This window comes from Homo sapiens, chromosome 2 (genome assembly GCF_000001405.40).
Source record: "Homo sapiens chromosome 2, GRCh38.p14 Primary Assembly".
Lineage (NCBI taxonomy): Eukaryota > Metazoa > Chordata > Mammalia > Primates > Hominidae > Homo > Homo sapiens.
This window is the reverse complement of record NC_000002.12, coordinates 223,950,375-223,969,461: the sequence shown is the minus strand read 5'-3', so window position 1 is coordinate 223,969,461 and position 19,087 is coordinate 223,950,375. Positions and strand designations below refer to the sequence as shown.

At 38.5% G+C, this 19,087-nt stretch overlaps 1 protein-coding gene across 2 annotated transcripts, besides 2 other annotated features; it reads right to left on the bottom strand.

Annotated features, from left to right (window-relative positions):
- Positions 1,748 to 18,608, bottom strand: MRPL44 (mitochondrial ribosomal protein L44). Of its 2 annotated transcripts, none has more exons than XM_011511668.3 (4): positions 18,398 to 18,608; positions 9,460 to 9,928; positions 5,528 to 5,706; positions 1,748 to 2,599 (listed from the first exon to the last, which is right to left on the bottom strand). In XM_011511668.3, the coding sequence occupies exons 1-4, from the start codon at positions 18,532 to 18,534 to the stop codon at positions 2,428 to 2,430; spliced, it is 957 nt and encodes a 318-aa protein (XP_011509970.1). In that variant the 5' UTR covers positions 18,535 to 18,608; the 3' UTR covers positions 1,748 to 2,427. The 2 variants fall into 2 exon arrangements, with proteins under 2 accessions (XP_011509970.1, NP_075066.1); NM_022915.5 differs by lacking the exon at positions 18,398 to 18,608 and adding an exon at positions 11,811 to 11,999.
- Positions 11,915 to 12,084: an enhancer, noted in NCBI's record as "active region_17184". NCBI's record gives its function as "activates an Ori minimal core promoter by ATAC-STARR-seq in GM12878 lymphoblastoid cells {active_cell/tissue: GM12878}" and the evidence as "EXISTENCE:reporter gene assay evidence [ECO:0000049][PMID:35858748]".
- Positions 12,155 to 12,224: a silencer, noted in NCBI's record as "silent region_12379". NCBI's record gives its function as "represses an Ori minimal core promoter by ATAC-STARR-seq in GM12878 lymphoblastoid cells {active_cell/tissue: GM12878}" and the evidence as "EXISTENCE:reporter gene assay evidence [ECO:0000049][PMID:35858748]".

Genomic DNA, 19,087 nt, shown 5'->3' with positions numbered 1-19,087 from the left:
GCTAGATTCTGCCATCTCACAGATGCTGGATAAGTGGTCAGAAGACATGTCTTTTGCTTTCCAGAAAAGTTTGTCATATAATCTCTTTTCTCCTACAGTGCCAATGAGATGCTTATCAAATCATGTTTACTTGTGAGTAACACATATAAATGGCATTTTACCACTGGTTTTGGTCCTCTATCCTTGTGTTCCATTACTAGGAGTTGAAGTTAACTCTGAAAAAAAGGTAAAATATAGTTGACCCTTGAACAATGCAGGGATTAGGGATGTTGACCCCTCATGTAGCAGTAAATCTGTATATTAACTTTAAACTTCCCAAAAACTTAACTCCTAATAACCTATGGCTGACTGGAAGCCTTACTGATGATATATTAATAAATAATCAATTAACACATATTTTATTATATAGATTATAAACCTTATTCTTACAACAAAGCTAAAAATATTAAAGAAATCAAAGAAAATATATTTACTATTCATTAAGTGGACACGGATGATCAAAAAGGTCTTCATCCTTGTCTTCACGCTGAGTAGGCTAAAGAGGAGGAGGAAAAGGGGGATGGTCTTGCTGTCTCACGTTGGCAGAAGCAGAAGAAAATCTGCATATATATACTGATCTGCACAATTCGAACCCACGTTGTTCGAGGGTCAACTTTAACTCACTTTTAACCTGCCAATTCAGTCAACTAGTTAATTTTTCAAATTTTCCCCTCCAAAAAGTCTCTGCTTTACCTTTGGGAGCTATAAACCCTGTAAGATAACTCAAGTTCCACTTTCCTAGCCAGGCTCAGGAAAGGCATTTCAAAGTTCCTTCATCTTTCTTTATAAAAAAATGTCAGGCCGGGCACAGTGGCTCACGCCTGTAATCCCAGCACTTTGGGAGGCCGAGGTGGATGGATCACGAGGTCAGGAGATTGAGACCGCCCTGGCCAACATGGTGAAACCCCGTCTCTACTAAAATACAAAAAAAATTAGCTGGGTGTGGTAGCACGCACCTATAGTCCCAGCTACTCGGAAGGCTGAGGCAGGAGAATCGCTTGAACTCAGGAGGCGAAAGTTGCAGTGAGCTGAGATCGCGCCACTGCACTCCAGCTTGGGCAACAGAGCGAGACTCTGTCTAATAAATAAATAAATTCATGGCAAATGTACTGTTGGTTTTAACATTTTACCTCTTTTCTATTCTCAACTCGTAGGTCCTGCTATTCTTGTTAACCCCTGGGAGTGACTAATGGAAGACTCAAACTAAAAATTACTGTTGCCAAAGTTTTTAACAAATGATAAATCAAAAGGAATTTGCAGTTAGGGGATTATTGAACTGACCACAAAGGATTAGAAAACCAAAACCTCTCTACTGAATTAAATGTGTTCCAATACTTACAACACTGCTTGGTACATACTATTATTATGACTAGAATACTAAATTGAACTAATACTGGCTTTATTTTCCCTTCACCATTAACATTTTAAGCTGTTTTTGAGTTTCAACTTCTTAGAAAAGGCAATTTCTGAAAAGCATAAATTTGCCTTTTCCTGCTATTTATAATAGAAATTGAATAAGAAACATACTAGAAGTATACATAATTTTAAACTTAGAATTTAGGGATCATGTAAATAGCTGCCTACTTATAATCTGTACTATGCATTTCCCAAAGAGTTTTAACATTACTATTTTAGTTAAAATTGTATTACAGAAGCGAAGTTCATCAACCTCCTGCCATTACTGGGTATATCAAATTAAAATGCAATGTTAACATGTGGAGAAAAAAAACTTTATTGGTATTACAGCAAAAAATTCACATAAGATACATAAATTATGATACCTCAAAGCTAGACGCAAATAAAATACACCTAATTATACAAATTCTATACAATTAAATCAAGAACATTAGGAAAATTTTTTTGCAAAAATGTCAAAAAAAGATTTGATCTGGTCGGGTATAGTGGCTCACACCTGTAATCCCAGCACTTTGGGAGGCCAAGGCGGGTGGATCACCTGAGGTCAGGAGTTCAAGACTAGCCTAGCCAACTTGGTGAAACCCCATGTCTACCAAAAATACAAAAATTAGCCAGGTATGGTGGTGTGTGCCTGTAATCCCAGCTACTAGGGAGGCTGAGCCACGAGAATCGCTTGAACCTGTGAGGTGGAGGTTGCAGTGAGCCGAGATCGCACCACTGCAGTCCAGCCTGGGCGACAGAGTAAGACTCCATCTCAAGAGAAAAAAAAAAAGATTTGATCAAACCAAGATTTCAGAAAAACAAAACCAAAAACACTGTGACTTGGTTAACACTTATTTAATTTTGGGAACACAGTAAAAAACAGAAACAAAACATCTATTTCTTCACAATTGTGAAAATGTCTGGCTTGAAACACCTTTGACATTTATCTCACTTTCGCTCTCAAGTTTCAGGCTGCTGCATCCATGGCGGCTAGCTGGCAGTGATGCTCTTTTCTGCTCTCAAGGTTTCTTTGGGCTTGGAATAGTTCCACGGCCGTCTATTTTCTGTGAATCCATAAAGTTTTCTAAGGGCCACTCGAGCAGCCTCTTCTTCTGCAACCAATACTGTTTCCCCAGGTCCTTCTGCAATCAACTTTTTATCACTAGAAAGAGAACAAACAGTAGTCTTAAATTACATGGAATATTGTAAGACAGTACACAAAGCAGTTATAAAGCAATTATGCCTTCTACATCTATTTCAATAATACCCATTAGAAGTAACACAATAGCTCTGATAGATCATCTTTTGGATTTTAACTAGATTTGTTGCAAGTTCATTACATATGGTAATTAGACAAAGATACACTTACGTTTCCTTAGAAATATATACAACTCTGTCAAGTCAAAAAAGCAAGTCGTATCTAGGTTTTCAATTGTTGATGAGAGAATTGGAAGAATATGTAAATAAATATCTCCCTACAAAAACCTGAAACTAGTAAAAATATTATCAGGAATTATGACTATTTTTATTTTTAATGTGTGATATAACTTGGGAAAAATAAATATCTCCTTACAAAAACCTGAAACTAGTAAAAATATTATCAGGAATTATGACTATTTTTATTTTTAATGTGTGATATAACTTGGGAAAAGATTCTGTTGAAAAAATTATGCCTTTTGAGTCTGTCATTTAAACTTTAACACAAATAAGAAACCAGAAACCAGCTCTATATTTCAAATTAAGAACTTTAGGCTGGGCATGATGGCTCACACTTTTTTTTTTTTTTTTTGAGACTGAGTCTCACTCTGTCGCCCAGGCTGTAGTGCAGTGGCACGATCTTGGCTCACTGCAGGCTCCGCCTCCTGGGTTCGCGCCATTCTCCTGCCTCAGCCTCCTGAGTAGCTGGGACTACAGGTGCCCGCCAACGCACCCGCCAACACGCCCAGCTAGTTTTTTGTATTTTTAGTAGAGACGGGGGTTTCACCGTAGCCAGGATGGTCTCGATCTGACCTCAAGATCCGCCCGCCTTGGCCTCCCAGTGGCTCACAGCTTTAACACCAACACTTTGGGAGACCAAAGCAGGAGGACTGCTTGAGCCCAGGAGTTAGGGATCAGACTAGGCAACATAGTGAGACCTCTGAAAAAAAAAGAAAAAAGAAAGAAGATAAATAGTAATTAAATAAAAAGGAAAAAAAAAGAGCTTCAAAACAGGCTCAGATTTTTAAATCATTTTATATATTTCTAATCCACTCTAATTTATTCCCAAGTGAGGTAACACTCAATGTTGGCTATGAGTATTCTATCGATAAATCTAATGTAGGTATTCCTCTGCTTTACTGGTATTTCTATATCATAACCATTTATCTTCTTTAAAAATGTAAAATGTTCCTTCAAGGGAGCAAAGAATGTAGAATGTGCACATCAAATAACTATAATCCTATTTGTTTTGCTACTTCTGAAATATATTTAACTACTTCCTGGAAATTTTCTGACCTAAAATTTCATCTGTGCAATTCAAAGAAGCATCTCCTGAAAGTTTAATGCATAGCAACTGCATTTACTAAATCAGATTCAATCGGCAACTGCATTTACTAAGTCAGATTCAATATAAGCTGATTTGAAAGTGAAGACCGAAACCAAATTAAAGAAAAACTAGTGAAGCTACACAAATAAAACAACAACAATATGAAATAAATTTGCTAAAAAACATCTGTTATGACAATAATTGGAAATGAAACAAAGGTTCTATTAAGTTAAACTTTATAATAATAAACACATACAAATTTGCACAAAGTTTGAGAATCAGAAAAAGTCATCTTGAAGTGAATAACAAGCACAGAATTTTGTTTTTAGTCTAATGTTGCTGGTTTTATCACTGATCACGTTTTAAAAAGTCATTATGTAAAATCTACAAAAACACTACTATCCAATAGTAATCACTGTAGTGATATGGCAAATTACTTCTTACATTTTTTTTTTTAGATAAAAGATCATTCTCCAAAATGTCCCAATCTCATTAAAAATTCTTTTAAAATGTCGCCTGTAATAGCTGTACTATATTCCATCATGTATACGTATCATTTCCCTCTTGTGGAATATCAAATTTATTTCTAATTGTTTTTTAGTTCAACAACTATTTACTGACCACCATGTCCCAGCAACTGTTCAAAGTATGGAGCATAAAGAGGTAAACAACAAACGTCTTTGTTCACAAAATTTGCCTGTAAATCTAAGGCAAACAACCCAAAGTTGAAATACCAAAATCAAAGAACATAAAAAATTTTAAGATGCTTGGCATTTTGTCAAAATTATTCACAGAAATATGGTACATTTTTTTCCTACCAGCAGTATATAAACTGATGATAAAAGATATGTTTAAAAGGTTTGCCAATCAGGTAAGTAACAAAGAGTATCTCACTGTTTTTGCATTTCAATAGATAAAACTTTATACAACACTATCCATTTTCCCCATGTGGTAACTTCTATTTCTTTTATACTTATAAAGTCTTTCGTGATACAAGGATTAGAAAAATATTTACCTAAATTTTAATCTAGCTATCTTAAATATTCAATATTTACATTTAACACTTTAATCTTAACATCTGAGATTAATTTGGGGCAAGTCAACTTTTTACTAACAAAACTAAAAAGCTCTCAACATGGGTTGATTTACACATTTTGATGGATAACTAAGGCCCTTCCTTTTCCAGTTCTAGGCTCAGTTGAAGCTACTGACAAGAATGGATTAAGGTTGAATCTCTAACACGAACAAGTCAACATTTGTACTTCTACACAGAAAAATTTAAGATAACACACTGAAAGTCTATAGCAAATAGTTGGCTGACAAAAGCTATTAGCAAAACTCAGATTCTTCCTAAGCATAACTAGCGGGAAGGGAAGTAGTAAATAATAACCATGGGGAAGAGATTTTTAAAAAATCTTTTCATGCAATTAGAAGTTACGTTAAGGAATCTGAAGAGGTTATGTTAACATTCCTTATGGAATGTGAAGAGTGTTTTTAAGGCTTTGTGAGGAGTCTGTTTTTAGGATTTCCTCAAAGTTATAAAGTTAAGATTAAAATTTCACTAACCAGTATAAGCCAACAAAATACAAAGGCAAAGCTGTGGTGCCACCAGACTGCCTAGTAAGTCTTGATTCAGGAGCTGAAACATTCCTTTTCTTCAGTTCTTCTACCAATAGCCCCATGGGATTTATTATCTTCCACATCTCAAAGAGCTCTTTTCCAGTCATTTGAGTAATTAAGAAGTCCTGCATATAAAAATATAATTTATACATTTTAATTAGTAGAAAGAACATTAGGACAATTCAAAATACATTTTTTACACTTTTTAAATTAGAGAAGCCACAGAGTACATTTTTAACAGAAATTTAAAACTTAATGGGAAACGAAAGACAAAAATGTACTATTCTTTTTCATTCCCACAGTTTTTACACTAATTTTATTGCAAAAATCATAGTTGGATTAAAAAAATTTGCAAGCCCGAGAAACCTATTTCAAGCAGTATGATCTACCAAAATTCCACAGAAGGTAGAATCCTATAATTTTTTTTTTCTTTTTTGAGACAGGGCTTCACTCTATTGCCTAGGCTAGAGGTGCAGAGGCGTGATCACAAGTAGACTGAAACCTCGACCTCCTGGGCTCAAGCAATCCTCCTAGCTCAGCCTCTTCAGCAGCTGAGACTACAGGTGCACACCACCATACTCGGCTAGCTTTTAAATTTTTTATAGAGATGAGGTCTCCATAAGTTGCCCAGCCTAGTCTCGACTCCTGGCCTCAAAGGATCCTCCTGCCTTGGCTTCTCAAAGTATTGGAATTACAGGCATTAGTCACCGTACCCTGCCCTATCTTATAATTTAGAATTATATTCCTACTAGTAAGAAAAAAATTATTTAAAGAATTAACGAATAAAAAGTAGTAACTTCTCATAGAAACTCATGTAAAATGGCACTCAGGGCCTCTAAATAACAATACTTCCTCCATTAATAATGTTTTTAAAAACTCTGCCAGGTGAGGTGGCTCACACCTGTAATCCCGGCACTTTGGGAGGCCAAGGCAGGCAGATCACTTGAGGCCAGGAGTTCGAGAGTAGCCTGGCCAACATGGTGAAACCCTGTCACTACTAAAAATACAAAAATTAGCCAGGCGTGATGCTGCACGCCTGTAAACCCAGCTACAAGGGAGACTAAGGCACAAGAATTGCTTGAACCTGGGAGGTGGAGGTTGCAGTGAGCCAAGATCATGCTACCACTACACTCCAGCCTGGGCAACACGGCAAGACTCTGTCTCAAAAAATAATAAAAAATAATTTAAAAAAATCTTTTAATAATTTCACATAAACTTTTAAAACTGTAGCATACTAGTAATTATTTATATGACGAAGATAACTGAGAAATTATGAACATTCAAAGCAGAATTGATTTTGCCAGTAAAAAGTATTATGTTGTATAGAAACTATGGAAGCAAACATTAATTTCCACAGCAATTTACATATTCCAATTAACTTGTATTAACAAACATTAGTAATATGATAACAGGATGGATGGATGGATGGATGGATGGATGGAGGCAGAGGGAAGAAATTTAAAAAGATCACTTAGTTCATGAAATGAAGTCAATTCATTACAACACTCCTCCAAGCACCAGAACACTTTCAGCTTCATTAATAAAAAATATTAGGCCAGGCGTGGTGGCTGATACCTATAATCCCAGCACTTTGGGAGGCTGAGGTGGGAGGATCACTTGAAATCAGGAGTTCAAGACCAGCTTGAACACCATAATGAGACCACGGCTCTACAGAAAAAATTTAGCTGGGCATAGTGACACATGCCTGTGGTCCCAGCTACTAGGGAGGCTAATATAGGAGGATGGCTTGAGCACAGGAAGTCGAGGCTGCAGTGAGCTGTGATTGTGCCACTGCACTCCAGCATGGACAACAGAGATGCTGCCTCGAAAAAAAAACTTACATCCACTCTCAGTAGGGGATTTTGAAATGTTTTAATGTACAGAGGTAGATATGCCTTATGGGATACGTATATACACATATATAAAAATCACTGAACTGCTATCTGTCATATAGAATAACCAAGTGTAAGGTTAGGAAACACAGCTCTTTCCCATCATCTAAGATATTAGTAGGAATATAGAAAGAAAGCTCAATTTTTCTTAAGTGATTACCTTCTATCGCCTCCTTCTATTTTTTGCTATTTGCTCCTGGTCTTAATAATTAGAGCTTTCTAGTAGGGTTTGAGTTGAATACTCCAATCTCATCTCCCCAGAATAGGGAAGCAGTATGAAGAAATGATGTTTCTAAAATGCACATTTGATCATTAAAAACCTCCCACTTAGAACAACTCCAGCTGTCGCTACACAAGACCATCAAAATACATACGCTGTAGCATGGCTAAGAGTGCCGTTCTAATTTCCAGATGCAGAGATATCACCTGGAGAGCTAGTTAAAATACAAATTCCTAGGCCCTACTCCCAGAGATTATGTACTCTGAGGGGGTGCCTGAGAATTTGCATTTCTATCAAGTTCTCCAGTGATGCTGATACTGATGCCCAAACCACTTTCTTAGTAATACTGTTAGCTCTTCTGTACACTGGCTCTTAAAGGTCCAGACTTATCTCTGATCACTTTGCCAAACGCAATATGATCCAGCCACAAAAAAATTAACTGTAGTTCCCAAGCACAAGCTCATCCTTGACACTGTCTTCCCAAAACATCCTTTTAAGGGGCACAAATCACTTCTGTAAAACCTTTTCTAGCCTTACTAAAGTTGGCTGTTGCCTCCTCTAAGTTCACTCTGCACCTTAACACCTCTAGGAAAGCACTTCCACATTGCATTCCATCTGAATAATGAGCTGTGAGTAGCATCAAATCCTATTTAGATAGCGGCTTCAGAGCTCAGCAGAGTGCCTGGCCCATAGTAAGGCACTCAACATTAAGTGGATGAACAAATGAAACAGGACAATACAAACCTGTCAATTCTACTATAAGAGACATCAAAGCTCAACTTAGACACAGATATTTGAATTATCTATGTTTCATAAGATCTTTACTTGGAACTGTTAAGACGCATTACAATATGGTAAATATTTCCAACATAGTTTCATGACTACCTTGTAGAATTTCAAAATGGTGACCAAAAATTATTTAGAGTTTTAAAACTTACTCCACAGAGTTATAGTTTGGAAATCAAAAAGGACTTTGTCAGAATTTCTATAGAAAAAACTAACTGGGGGGAGAAAGATAGGTCTTACCTATGAACAAAGCCTGAAGTGTCAGTAAATACAGATATTCTCTAACAAAATTATCAAACTTGGTATCAAAACTAAATGAACAGATTCCAACAGCAGGTTTAAAGACTGAATGTCAGTCAGATAGGTGCCTGAATCAAGACTGTTTTTATGACTTAAAGTGATTGTGTGGACTCTCTATTATCAAAAAGTGAACAAAACCTCATGTTTTCATCCAATGGCAGAGGATAAAACTTCTCCCAGTTAATAAATTATAAAAGGACAGTGGGAGTCAAGTTGTACCAATTACATAAGAATCTGAATTAGCTAAGCCACTAGCTAACAAAGAGTTTTACATTAGAGGGACTTGAAATCCAACATTTCATCACTTGGAAGAGCAGACAGCAGCTGGTACTGAAGCACAGGCCTCTGCATAGTGTCCTTTGACTTCACTCATTCACCAAACATCTACTGAGTATCTCTCATGCAGGCAGTATCCTTGGCCCTAAGGATGTAAACTTAAAGATGATATGGCTTGTGGTCCTTCAGAAATCACAACCCACAATTTAATATTCACTTCTGATGATATCCATAATAAGAGACAACTGGAATAATTACAGCCCTTCCATAAAAAACCTTTAGGTCTTTCTCAGTTTTTCTTGGGAGAAAAATTCACTTCCAAGGTGATATATCAAAGAAGTGAATTACAAAAGAATATTTTCCCTTCTGTCTATCTCAAGCATGTCCAATTAATAGTTACGTACCCTGATGAAAAGTGCAGTCCTCTCAGGTCCACTGCTCTGTAACAGGGCTCCAATAACTGCAAAGAAAGTCTGCTGTAACACAGCTGGGGGCACTGGGAATTCTTCACTCAGTGTTAACTGCTCCACAGCCAAGTTTCTAGCCACGTGACACACGACTTCCTCACCAGTGAGAAAGTCAACAAGATTTTTTATGCCTTCAGTGGGCATGTCTGGGTACTCGTCTTCAAGAAACTGTGTAAGGCAAGTCTGTGAAAAAGATGTCCCTTGTTCGGATAGTTCTTGATTACTTTTAAGATTCAGAAGAACAGCTTCTTTCTCTATCCCAAGTTGTTGGCGTTTGGCCTCCTCACTTTTAATATAGCAGCTATTAACAAATGCAGTTTTGAGAAGATCTAAGGAAAAGTTTTCCTGTAACCGATGTCCAAAAGCTTGTATTTCTGCATGGTAATCCCAGTTCGGCTTCTCTGAACTGAAAATGTAAAGACAGTAAGAGATGGTAAAGAGAACAACCTGTTACTGTGATATAAAAATTGTTCACTGTGTTGTAATGTTATTAATTATATAAAGGAAATGAAAGAAGGTTATATTTCTTTTTAATGCCAGGTTGATATTCTAAATGTTAAGACTAAAGTCAGATAAATACTGGCAGTCCTTTGCTATATTCTACATATATGACTGGATTAATTTTCCCTTTGATCCAATTGTCACATGAAATTGGTTCTTCAATATAAAAGACCAAGCCATTAGCCTAACTTTTAGGTTCCTTATTTCTGCTCTAACCATGATACTATGTTTTATACCTAAGTATGAAGCATAAATGTTAATTTCACAGATTCAAGCCATAAACACTAGTATGTTATATTTGCAGTCATCCCTCAATATCTGTAGGGGATTGGTTCCAAGGACTCTCCTGGATACTGAAATTCATGGATGCTCAAGTCTCTCATATAAATGGTGTAGTACAGGCACACTTCGTTTCACTGTACTTCGGTCTATTGTGCTTCACAGATTTATTGCATTTTATTTTTACAAACTGAAGGTCTGTAGCAATTCTGCATGTGCTCACTTTGTGTCTCTGTGTTACCATTTTTTAGCAATAAAGTATTTTAAATTAAGGTACATATATTGCTTTTTAGACACTACTACTGTACACTTAATAAACTACAGAATAGTATAAACATAACTTAGGTATACACTGGGAAACTAAAAAAGTCATGTGACTCGTTTTATTGTCGTGGTCTAGAACCAACCCTACAATATGTATGAGGTATACCTGTATCTGCATATAACCTATGCACATCCTCCTGTATACTTTAAGTCATCTCTGGATTACTTATACGTAACACAATATAAAACCCCTTTAAGAAACAAAGGGAAGCAAAGTATGAAAACCTAGGTTGAAAGTCGTAAGATATACATATAACATATACACCTATATAATCTGTCCAACCCATAAAGTTTCTTCCACCTTTGAGAGCCTAAAATACTTAATCTTATAATAAACAAGGGAATGGGAATTAAGAAGAGATTTTATTTTTTGCTATAATCTTCTCTGTTAGAAGACCGTTCCTACTGGTAGGAGTACAAAGTGGATCAACATTTTTTGGAGGGCAATGTTAAAGTACTAATAGCTTTCAAAATTTCATACTACACATGCGTCCCCTTTACGCGCTGTTACATAGGTTTTAATGGCAATAATATGGAGCTCATAGGCCCATATATACAGAGCCATAAAAAAGAGTGAGGTACATATCTTTGTAATACCATGACAACATGTCAAACACACATTATTAAAGAGAAAAAGCAAGATGAAGGAATTTAAATTATGTAAAGTATGATCTGGTTTGAAGCTATAAAAACCTGTGTCTCTCTCTGCCAAACCTGTTACCAGAACAGCATTAATTAGGGCAAAAATCTAAAGCTAACTTTTTTTCCTTTTACTCTAGACAGCAGAATTCAGGTTGTAGATTAATTTTTTTTCTCCTTAATTTACGATGCTGTGGGCTGCTTTCTTCCCGCTTATCGGAATTCTCAGGCATTACAAACGGGGACTACAACATCCAAGTCCACATAAGGAAGACCCTCCAGTTAGCCCCATTTCTCCCAATTTTCAGTAGCCAAAATCCTAAATGGTAGTTTCAAAACGTCGGGAACAGCCCGAAGCTCTACCGCCCGCGGCACAAATCCATTTTTTTTGCCTCAGGCCCCGCGCCCACAGCTCACGGGTGTCTCCATCGCAAACTTCCTAAGGCTTAACCCAGGGGCGCATCAGCCGCAGACACGACGCCGCGGGAAGAAGACCCAGTGTCTGCGACCGCCACCCTGAGACCTCTTCCCGAGGTGGCTCCTACCGGCGCACGGGCGGCGGCGGGCACCGCAGAAGGCGCTGCCGCTCTAACTCCTTCTGGAAGCGGAAGGCGGCGCGGAATCCCTTCTTCACTCCCCGAACCGGAGGGACCAGCTTGGGGGCGACTGGAGCCAGGAGGCAGCGATGTCCCTGCTGCAGCAATCTTACCAGCCCGGACGCCATTGCACGAGAGAAAACGATGGAAGACGGAACGAAAGTAGTCGGGCCAGTGTCCCCGTAACACACTTCCCCCGGAACCCGGAACGCGGAACGCGAAGAGAAGGCTGGGGCGGAGACAGCCCCCGGGGCGGGGCGACTGAGAGAGGGCAGGGGCGGAGACAGCCCCGGGGCGGGGTGATTGCGGCCGCCTTGAGGCTACGCTTGCGCTAGTTCTCTCCTCTCTTCGAGTTACTTTCCAATGATCCGGACTTGAGGGCGTTTGCGCCCAAAAGTTTCTGGGAGAAGTTGCTTCACCCTGTCACTCTCTTGTTCCTTCCTCTCTCGTTACAGCAAAACAAACAAAAATCTGTTTCGCTTTCAGGTTAAGGAAACATTTAAATCCTCAAAAAAAGAAAACATTTTTAATTTATATTTAGTGTTCTAGGCCACTACTGAGCAAGTATTTACCGAGCTTCTATTTTTGACCCAGCACGCCTCCAAAAGCCTTAGTTTTGGAAACCCTAGACTCAGAAATGTTGGCTTATCCAAAATTAAAATTTTTCTTTAAAAGCAATCTAATAGTACATATTTTTAAACATCCGGAAAATGACTGGAAAAAAACATAAAACGGTAATAGGGGAATTACAGTTTCTTCCTTCTTTATGTTAACACTCTTTAACAATGTAATTCTATTGCTTTCCTACCAAACTGTTAATACAGTACAATTTTTAAAAGAACATATTAAGTCACAAAGGGAGGCTTGTTTGAATTCCCAGTTTTGAGTTGCCTGCTGAACATCTAGACCCTCAAAGGGGCAATGCTTTCTGTGATCTCTTTGTTAAAGGCATCTGTGTCCCCAGCAGTCACCCAGATTGAACTCCTATGTCTTTGATTGTTTTTGTTTCGACAAACCCCCTCTTCGGTGCAGTTTCCACCAAGTGCTTTTTCCATTTATTTCCACTGCAGGTACCTGGTGGCTCTCCTCACCTCTTTCCGTGGTTAGTGTAATTGGCCTGGTACCTTCCTCCCTTCCCCAGACACAGCTCACCTACATTCATCTCTCTGAAACACAGACCACAAAGCATGTTATGACTTAGCCCGAGAATCTTCAGTGCCAGGATCATAGAACTCAATTTGGGTTTCTCAGCTTGACCATTTCAAAAGGGAGAATCTAAATGGTTCATCTCAGCTTATAAAAGGGTTCCCTTTGGGGAGGGAGAGAGCAAAAGAGGGGCTGAGCACACACCAAAAAACAAACTGATGGATTTCTGGTTGAAGGAAATTCTCCAAGAAGGGGTGAAAGGAGGTTACGATTGACCTTCTTGTTTCAATGTATGTAAAGTATTGAAAATTCATGGAACATCAATCCAATAAATGGATTAGGAGAAAATGCAGGGAACTGTCATTTCTGTAGAATTTCATTTATTAGGAAAAATAATCTAAGCCAGTTGTAGCACAATCATGTTAAGTTAAAATGAGGTGTCTCTGTGTTGAGAGTTTCTCAGTCATACAACAACGAGAGCATCATTTGCAGATTAAAAAAATGTAGGTCCTCAAAAGATTTCTTCTACTAATGCCCTTCATGGAACTTAGGAATTAACCAGTTTTTTAAAATCTGCTCATACATTTGTCTATTTATTCAATAAACACATAATAGGAGGAGGACTTGGTTCCAGGATCCAGGCTCAGAAAACTTTAAGGAAGAAAAAGGCCAATGTGTTTTTCAGCCCTCAAAAACCTGATTTTTCCTTTAACCTGCTGTTAGCCCTAATTTGATCAAAGCTCACAGATGTCAACAACTTTCGAGTTTTCATTGGGTTAAGGTCAGGTGGAAGGGTGGGGAAAAGTCACACTTAGGAAGAGGAGGTGAGGCGATTGAGGGTTCACTTTAACCCTTGGGGAACACAACCTTTTGTGTTTTGATGCCAGGGATATTGCTTATATATTCCTTCAATGATGGTGAAGGCAGCTGGAATACGGGGCACAGAAAGATGGATAACAAAGTTAGTAAGCTCTGCTATAGGACCTTCCTGAACAATCAAGCAATTCTGAACCACCTGGGATTACTCACCACTACTTCATAGATTAGCTAAGGAATAACTACCAAATAGTGGCCTTTAATCCAACTCACAAGGAAAATTACAGACAGAAATAATTACCATAGAATGAAAATTACTATAGTTAAAACTGTTCAAAATACAAAATTGGAGTTACTGATAAATATCGATATAGAATCAGTCTTCACCAAAGTTACATCTGTTCAACCTAGCTTTGGAAAATTTGACTTGATGGAAAATTTGACTTGATAGATCTAAAAGCTGCAACAGAAAACTCATGATAGTAAAACTGATTAGCAAAAAGCCTTAGTAAACCTGAGCAACAAATAACATCTTAGGAAATAAATGTGGAAAAAAATTCATGAAAATACATTAAGCAATAGAAACATGAAAATACAATTAGAAATAGGATACTTGTGCTGTATAGAAAATTGATCAAGAAATTTAATTGGTTTCATGGAGCTTATTCCAGAAAACATTTTCTCAAAAAAAATGCATCAATGTTAGTATAATTCTGTTATAAACACTTTAATTCATAATTATGGAAGCAAAACTTTTTTGGTGTGTTAGCGGCCAGCAAGATGGCTCTCAACAAGCCCCACCTCCTGGTACTTACACCCTTGTACATTCCCCTCTCACATTGTGCTGGGATTAGTCTGTGTAACCAATAGACCATGGATGTTTTTATCAATTCTGGGGTTAGGTAATAAAATACATCATAGCTTCCATTTTGGTCAGATACCTTGTATTTCTTGGATTAGTCTCCTGTCAGGAAGTCAGCTGCTATGTTATGATGTTGCCTAAGAAACTATGTGGAAAGGCTTATGTGATGAGTAGCTGAGGCCTCCCGCTAACAGCCATGTGAATGAATGAGCTGTCTTAGAATTGGATCCTCCACTCCCAGTCAGACTTTCAGATGACTGCCTACTGGCCAGCGCTTTGACTGCATCCTCATGAGAGACCCTCAGCCAGAATCACCCAGCTAAACTGCTCCCAAACTCCTGGCCCTCAGGAAATGTATGAGAAAATAAACGTTTGTTGCTTTATGCCACTAAGTTCTGGAGTAATTTGTTACATAGCAACAGATAATTAATACACATAGGGTCAAATCAATTGGATGAAAATGGCAAAATAAAAAATGCTCTATATTCATGAGACTTAGGGGATGGCCTCAGAGTGCTGGTTCTAGATGGAAGCGTGGATTTTGCTAGATGCAGAAGAGATGGAAAGGAGGATCAACATTCCATAACATGCACAAAGTCGTCAGGAATGATGATGACTTAGTAAATTCCGCTCCAAAAAGTGAAAGCTGCCTGACCCTTTAACCCCTGTAGGTATAGATCCCCTTTCCTGTCATTAAGGATACTTTTGAGAAACAAGTTCAGGAAATATCAGAGAAGATGTCAAGCACAGGGTTTCCACTTTACGTGTTCCTTGATGTTTCTGCTAAACTGAGCAATGTTTGGATCTGAGAGAGGGATACCTATTACAGGAAAAGGAATATTTTAAAGGGTTATAAAAATAAGTAAAAACTTGTAATGAGAGGGAAAGTAGAGATATTAGACCACTATGACTATAATATTGAAACTTCACACTTTTGTTTTGCTTTTTAAATAAAGCATTGTAAAAGTGGTTTGAGATTTTTGCAGTGTGATTATTATGCTGGCCTGCAGTGTAAAACTGGGGTAAAATCCAGAGAATGGGTTAAAAGAACTCCTGGCAAAACTACTGAACAAAATTACCAAGTCTTCTTTCCTCTCTGGGATGAAACTGTGTCTCCAGATCTTTTGGCAAGGCCCAAGGAGACGAAGCATGTCCAAAAGCAATAAATCACTGTAGACTTCTTTTTCAGTCTGTCCCACAGATTTAACATGTACTGAACAGATAAACATTGATTAGGTATACATTATAACAACTGCTGAAAGACACTGAAAAGTTTTATAAGTATTTCCTCTTGATTAGAGTTAACCAGATTATAGCCATTAAAAGTTATAAATTTAAAAATCTGGGCTGGCACGGTGGCTCATGCCTGTAATCCCAGCACTTTGGGAGGCCGAGGCAGGCGGATCATGAGGTCAGGAGTTCAAGACCAGCCTGGCCAACATGGTGAAACCTCATCTCTACTAAAAATACAAAAATTATCTGGACATGGTGGTGTGTGCCTGTAGTCCCAGCTACTCGAGAGGCTGAGACAGGAGAATTGCTTGAATCTGGGAGTTAGAGGTTGCAGTGAGCCAAGATAGCACCACTGCACTCGAGCCTGGGTGACAGAGCCAGACTCTGTCTCGGAAAAAAAAAAAAAAAAGAATCTGGATAATCTGGATACTGCATACGAATAAGTTATTCTTTATGAGACTATCATTTCTATCATTATATGGTTTATATCTATTTTTGAAAATACTCAATTACTGAAATATTGCCTTATAATTTACATATGTAACGTCATATTCTCAGTAAGTTATGTCCTACAATCCTCATGATGGCTTTAAAAGACAAACCTTAGACAAATTAAATTTAAGAGTTTAACTGATCAAACAATGATGAATCAGGCAGCCCCCAGAACCAGAACACGTTCAGAAAGACTCCAGGACTGCCACATGGTCAGATAACATTTATGGACAGTAAAAGGAAAAAGTATGTACAGAAAATGCAAATGAGGGACAGAAACAGCTGGTGTCTGCTTTATTTGAATAGGGCTGCCTGTGGTTGGATGAGACTCGGCTACTTTTACAAGAGCAGGTGACAGTCTTTTACACATCAAGTTAGGTTACATATCAAGTTAGGTTCACTGTGTACTGAAAAACCTTTAGGCCAAAATTAAAATATGTACAACGGAGGCTTTAGTCCAAACTTAATTTAACAGTACTACAAGTTAAGTATCAGTATTGCCATAATTGTATCAGTCAGGGTCTTACCAAGAGAACAAAGGCACACCAGATGGTTCCAAGAAAGAAACCGAATACAAAGAACTAGTTACAAAGGTGTTAGAACTGAAAGGCCTAAGAGATTAGGGACAGCAAAACTGGAGAGACAAAGGGAACAGATGGTACCAGAGCACAAGAGTTAGGTGAGCCGAATGGGACCAAGAACCCACAGAGACTGCCTGTTGAGGGCTGCGACAAAAGAGGGAAGCTATAGCCAGTGGGGACTGGAGCCACAGAGAAGGCATACTCCCTAAGCAGAAAGAGTGGAGGAGAAATACCCTGGTTTCTTCTTTCCTTCTACCTTCCAATGTCCCACCACTGCCTCCACCATACAAACTTATCAGGAAGCAAGTCGGTTAGGGAGTCTGGGACATGTAGTTTGCAGAAGTCAACCCCCTGCAATACAGACCAAGCAAGGTACACATAAAGTGGATCTGATAGCAATAGGCAAACGGCTAGCCTGTGATTACACTTAGAGTATCTGAAATGTGAAGAGTAGAAAGTCAAGGCCACATTAGAATGCTGACCCATTAAGCTAACATACCTTACTTCATCCAAATGTTAAAGGTAAGAACTTATTACAATAAATAATATTGGCATTTATGATTATCATCATTATCATTCTTACAGTACAACTATAAAATACTCCCTCAAGGAAGTCTAGCATGACACAGGTATTTAGAGTCAGAGGAGGTGATGGCGGGATAGACATTTAGAGATCAAGGTCCAAGGTAAGGGGCCAGACACAGTGGCTCAAGCCTGTAATCCCAGCACTTTGGGAAGCTGAGGTGGGTGGATCACTTGAGGTCAGGAGTTCGAGACCAGCCTGGCCAACATGGTGAAAACCCATCTCTACTAAAAATACAAAAATTAGCCTGGCGTTCTGGCATGTACCTGTAATCCCAGCTTTTCTGGAGGCTGAGGCAGGAGAATCATTTGAACCAGGGAGGCAGACGTTTCAGTGAGCCGAGAACGTGCCACTGCACTCCAGCCTGGCCACAGAGCGAGACTCTGTCTGAAAAAAAAAAAAAAAAAAACTCCAAGGTAAGAAGCATGAGTTAACAATAAATACTACACATTATCTCTGCTTCCTACATCACCATTAAAAGGTAACATTATTATTCTCACTTTAGAAATGCAAGAAATCACCACAAAATTTCTTATCCATGTAGCCAAACACCACCTGTTCCTCAAAAGCCATTGATATAAAAAAATAAATAATTTCTCTTTGTGTACCTAGAGTCTAGCAGTTCCAAGAGGCTGTGCTAAGGCTCTTCTATCACCACTTGAACTCACTTCAATCAGGTTTTACCCCTGGCATTCATGGAAACTTGCAGTCATTTCATTTGCTTGATCTGCAGCATTTGACACAGTCGATCACTTCCTCCTCCTTAGAACACCTTCTTCCTTTGTCTTCAGGACAATACACACAATATCCATTTTCCTCCTACCTCATAGAGTCAGGGGGAAGGGGAGCAGGGGGAGGTTGGCTCCTCTCCAGTCTTTTTTTCTGGTTCCTCCCTTTCTTCCAGACCTGTTGATGTTTCCAAGGCTTCTGTCCTTGTACCTCTTCGTTATTTACACACATACTTCCTCTTGGACTTCATGTACTCTTATGGCTGTAAATGCTATATGCATACTCTATAAAATCATTTTGTGTTTAAGCACTGATTTTACAAAATGTATAAAGGTGAGTTAAATTTAGAGCTTAATTTGTTTATGTAAATTGCCTTCAAAATGTGTTACAGCTGAGATGTTTTCCATGTGTTTTGGAAGAAATCACACAGAGTAGCTGCTTTTGCAATAAACTGGATCAATGTTACATCTTTGGGTCAGTTCATTGTCAGTGTGCAAGGTGAGAGTTATGTGGGCCTTACCTTATTGTTCACATTGAACCATTCTGGGTGATGATTCATCTTATTTGTAAGACAACTCAATACGTAAGGCCTGTTACAAAGGTAAACCAGGCCAGGCACAGTGGCTCTCACCTGTACCAGCATTTTGGGAGGCTGAGACAGTTGGATCACTTGAGCTCAGGAGTTCAACACCAGCCTGGGCAATAGTAGAGAACCATGTCTCTACTAAAAATACAAAAATTAGCCAGGCATGGTGGTGCTTGCCTACTCCCAGCTACTGCAGTG

What these genes read in the sequence shown, in the direction of transcription:
- MRPL44 (NM_022915.5), bottom strand. Translation starts at nt 11,989, where the DNA reads ATGGCGTCCGGGCTGGTAAGATTGCTGCAGCAGGGACATCGCTGCCTC. An exon ending in CCGCCGCCGCCCGTGCGCCG is followed by an intron (nt 9,929 to 11,810) that starts GTAGGAGCCACC and finishes TTACATTTTCAG; the next exon opens with TTCAGAGAAGCCGAACTGGG. An exon ending in GGACTGCACTTTTCATCAGG is followed by an intron (nt 5,707 to 9,459) that starts GTACGTAACTAT and finishes TTTTATATGCAG; the next exon opens with GACTTCTTAATTACTCAAAT.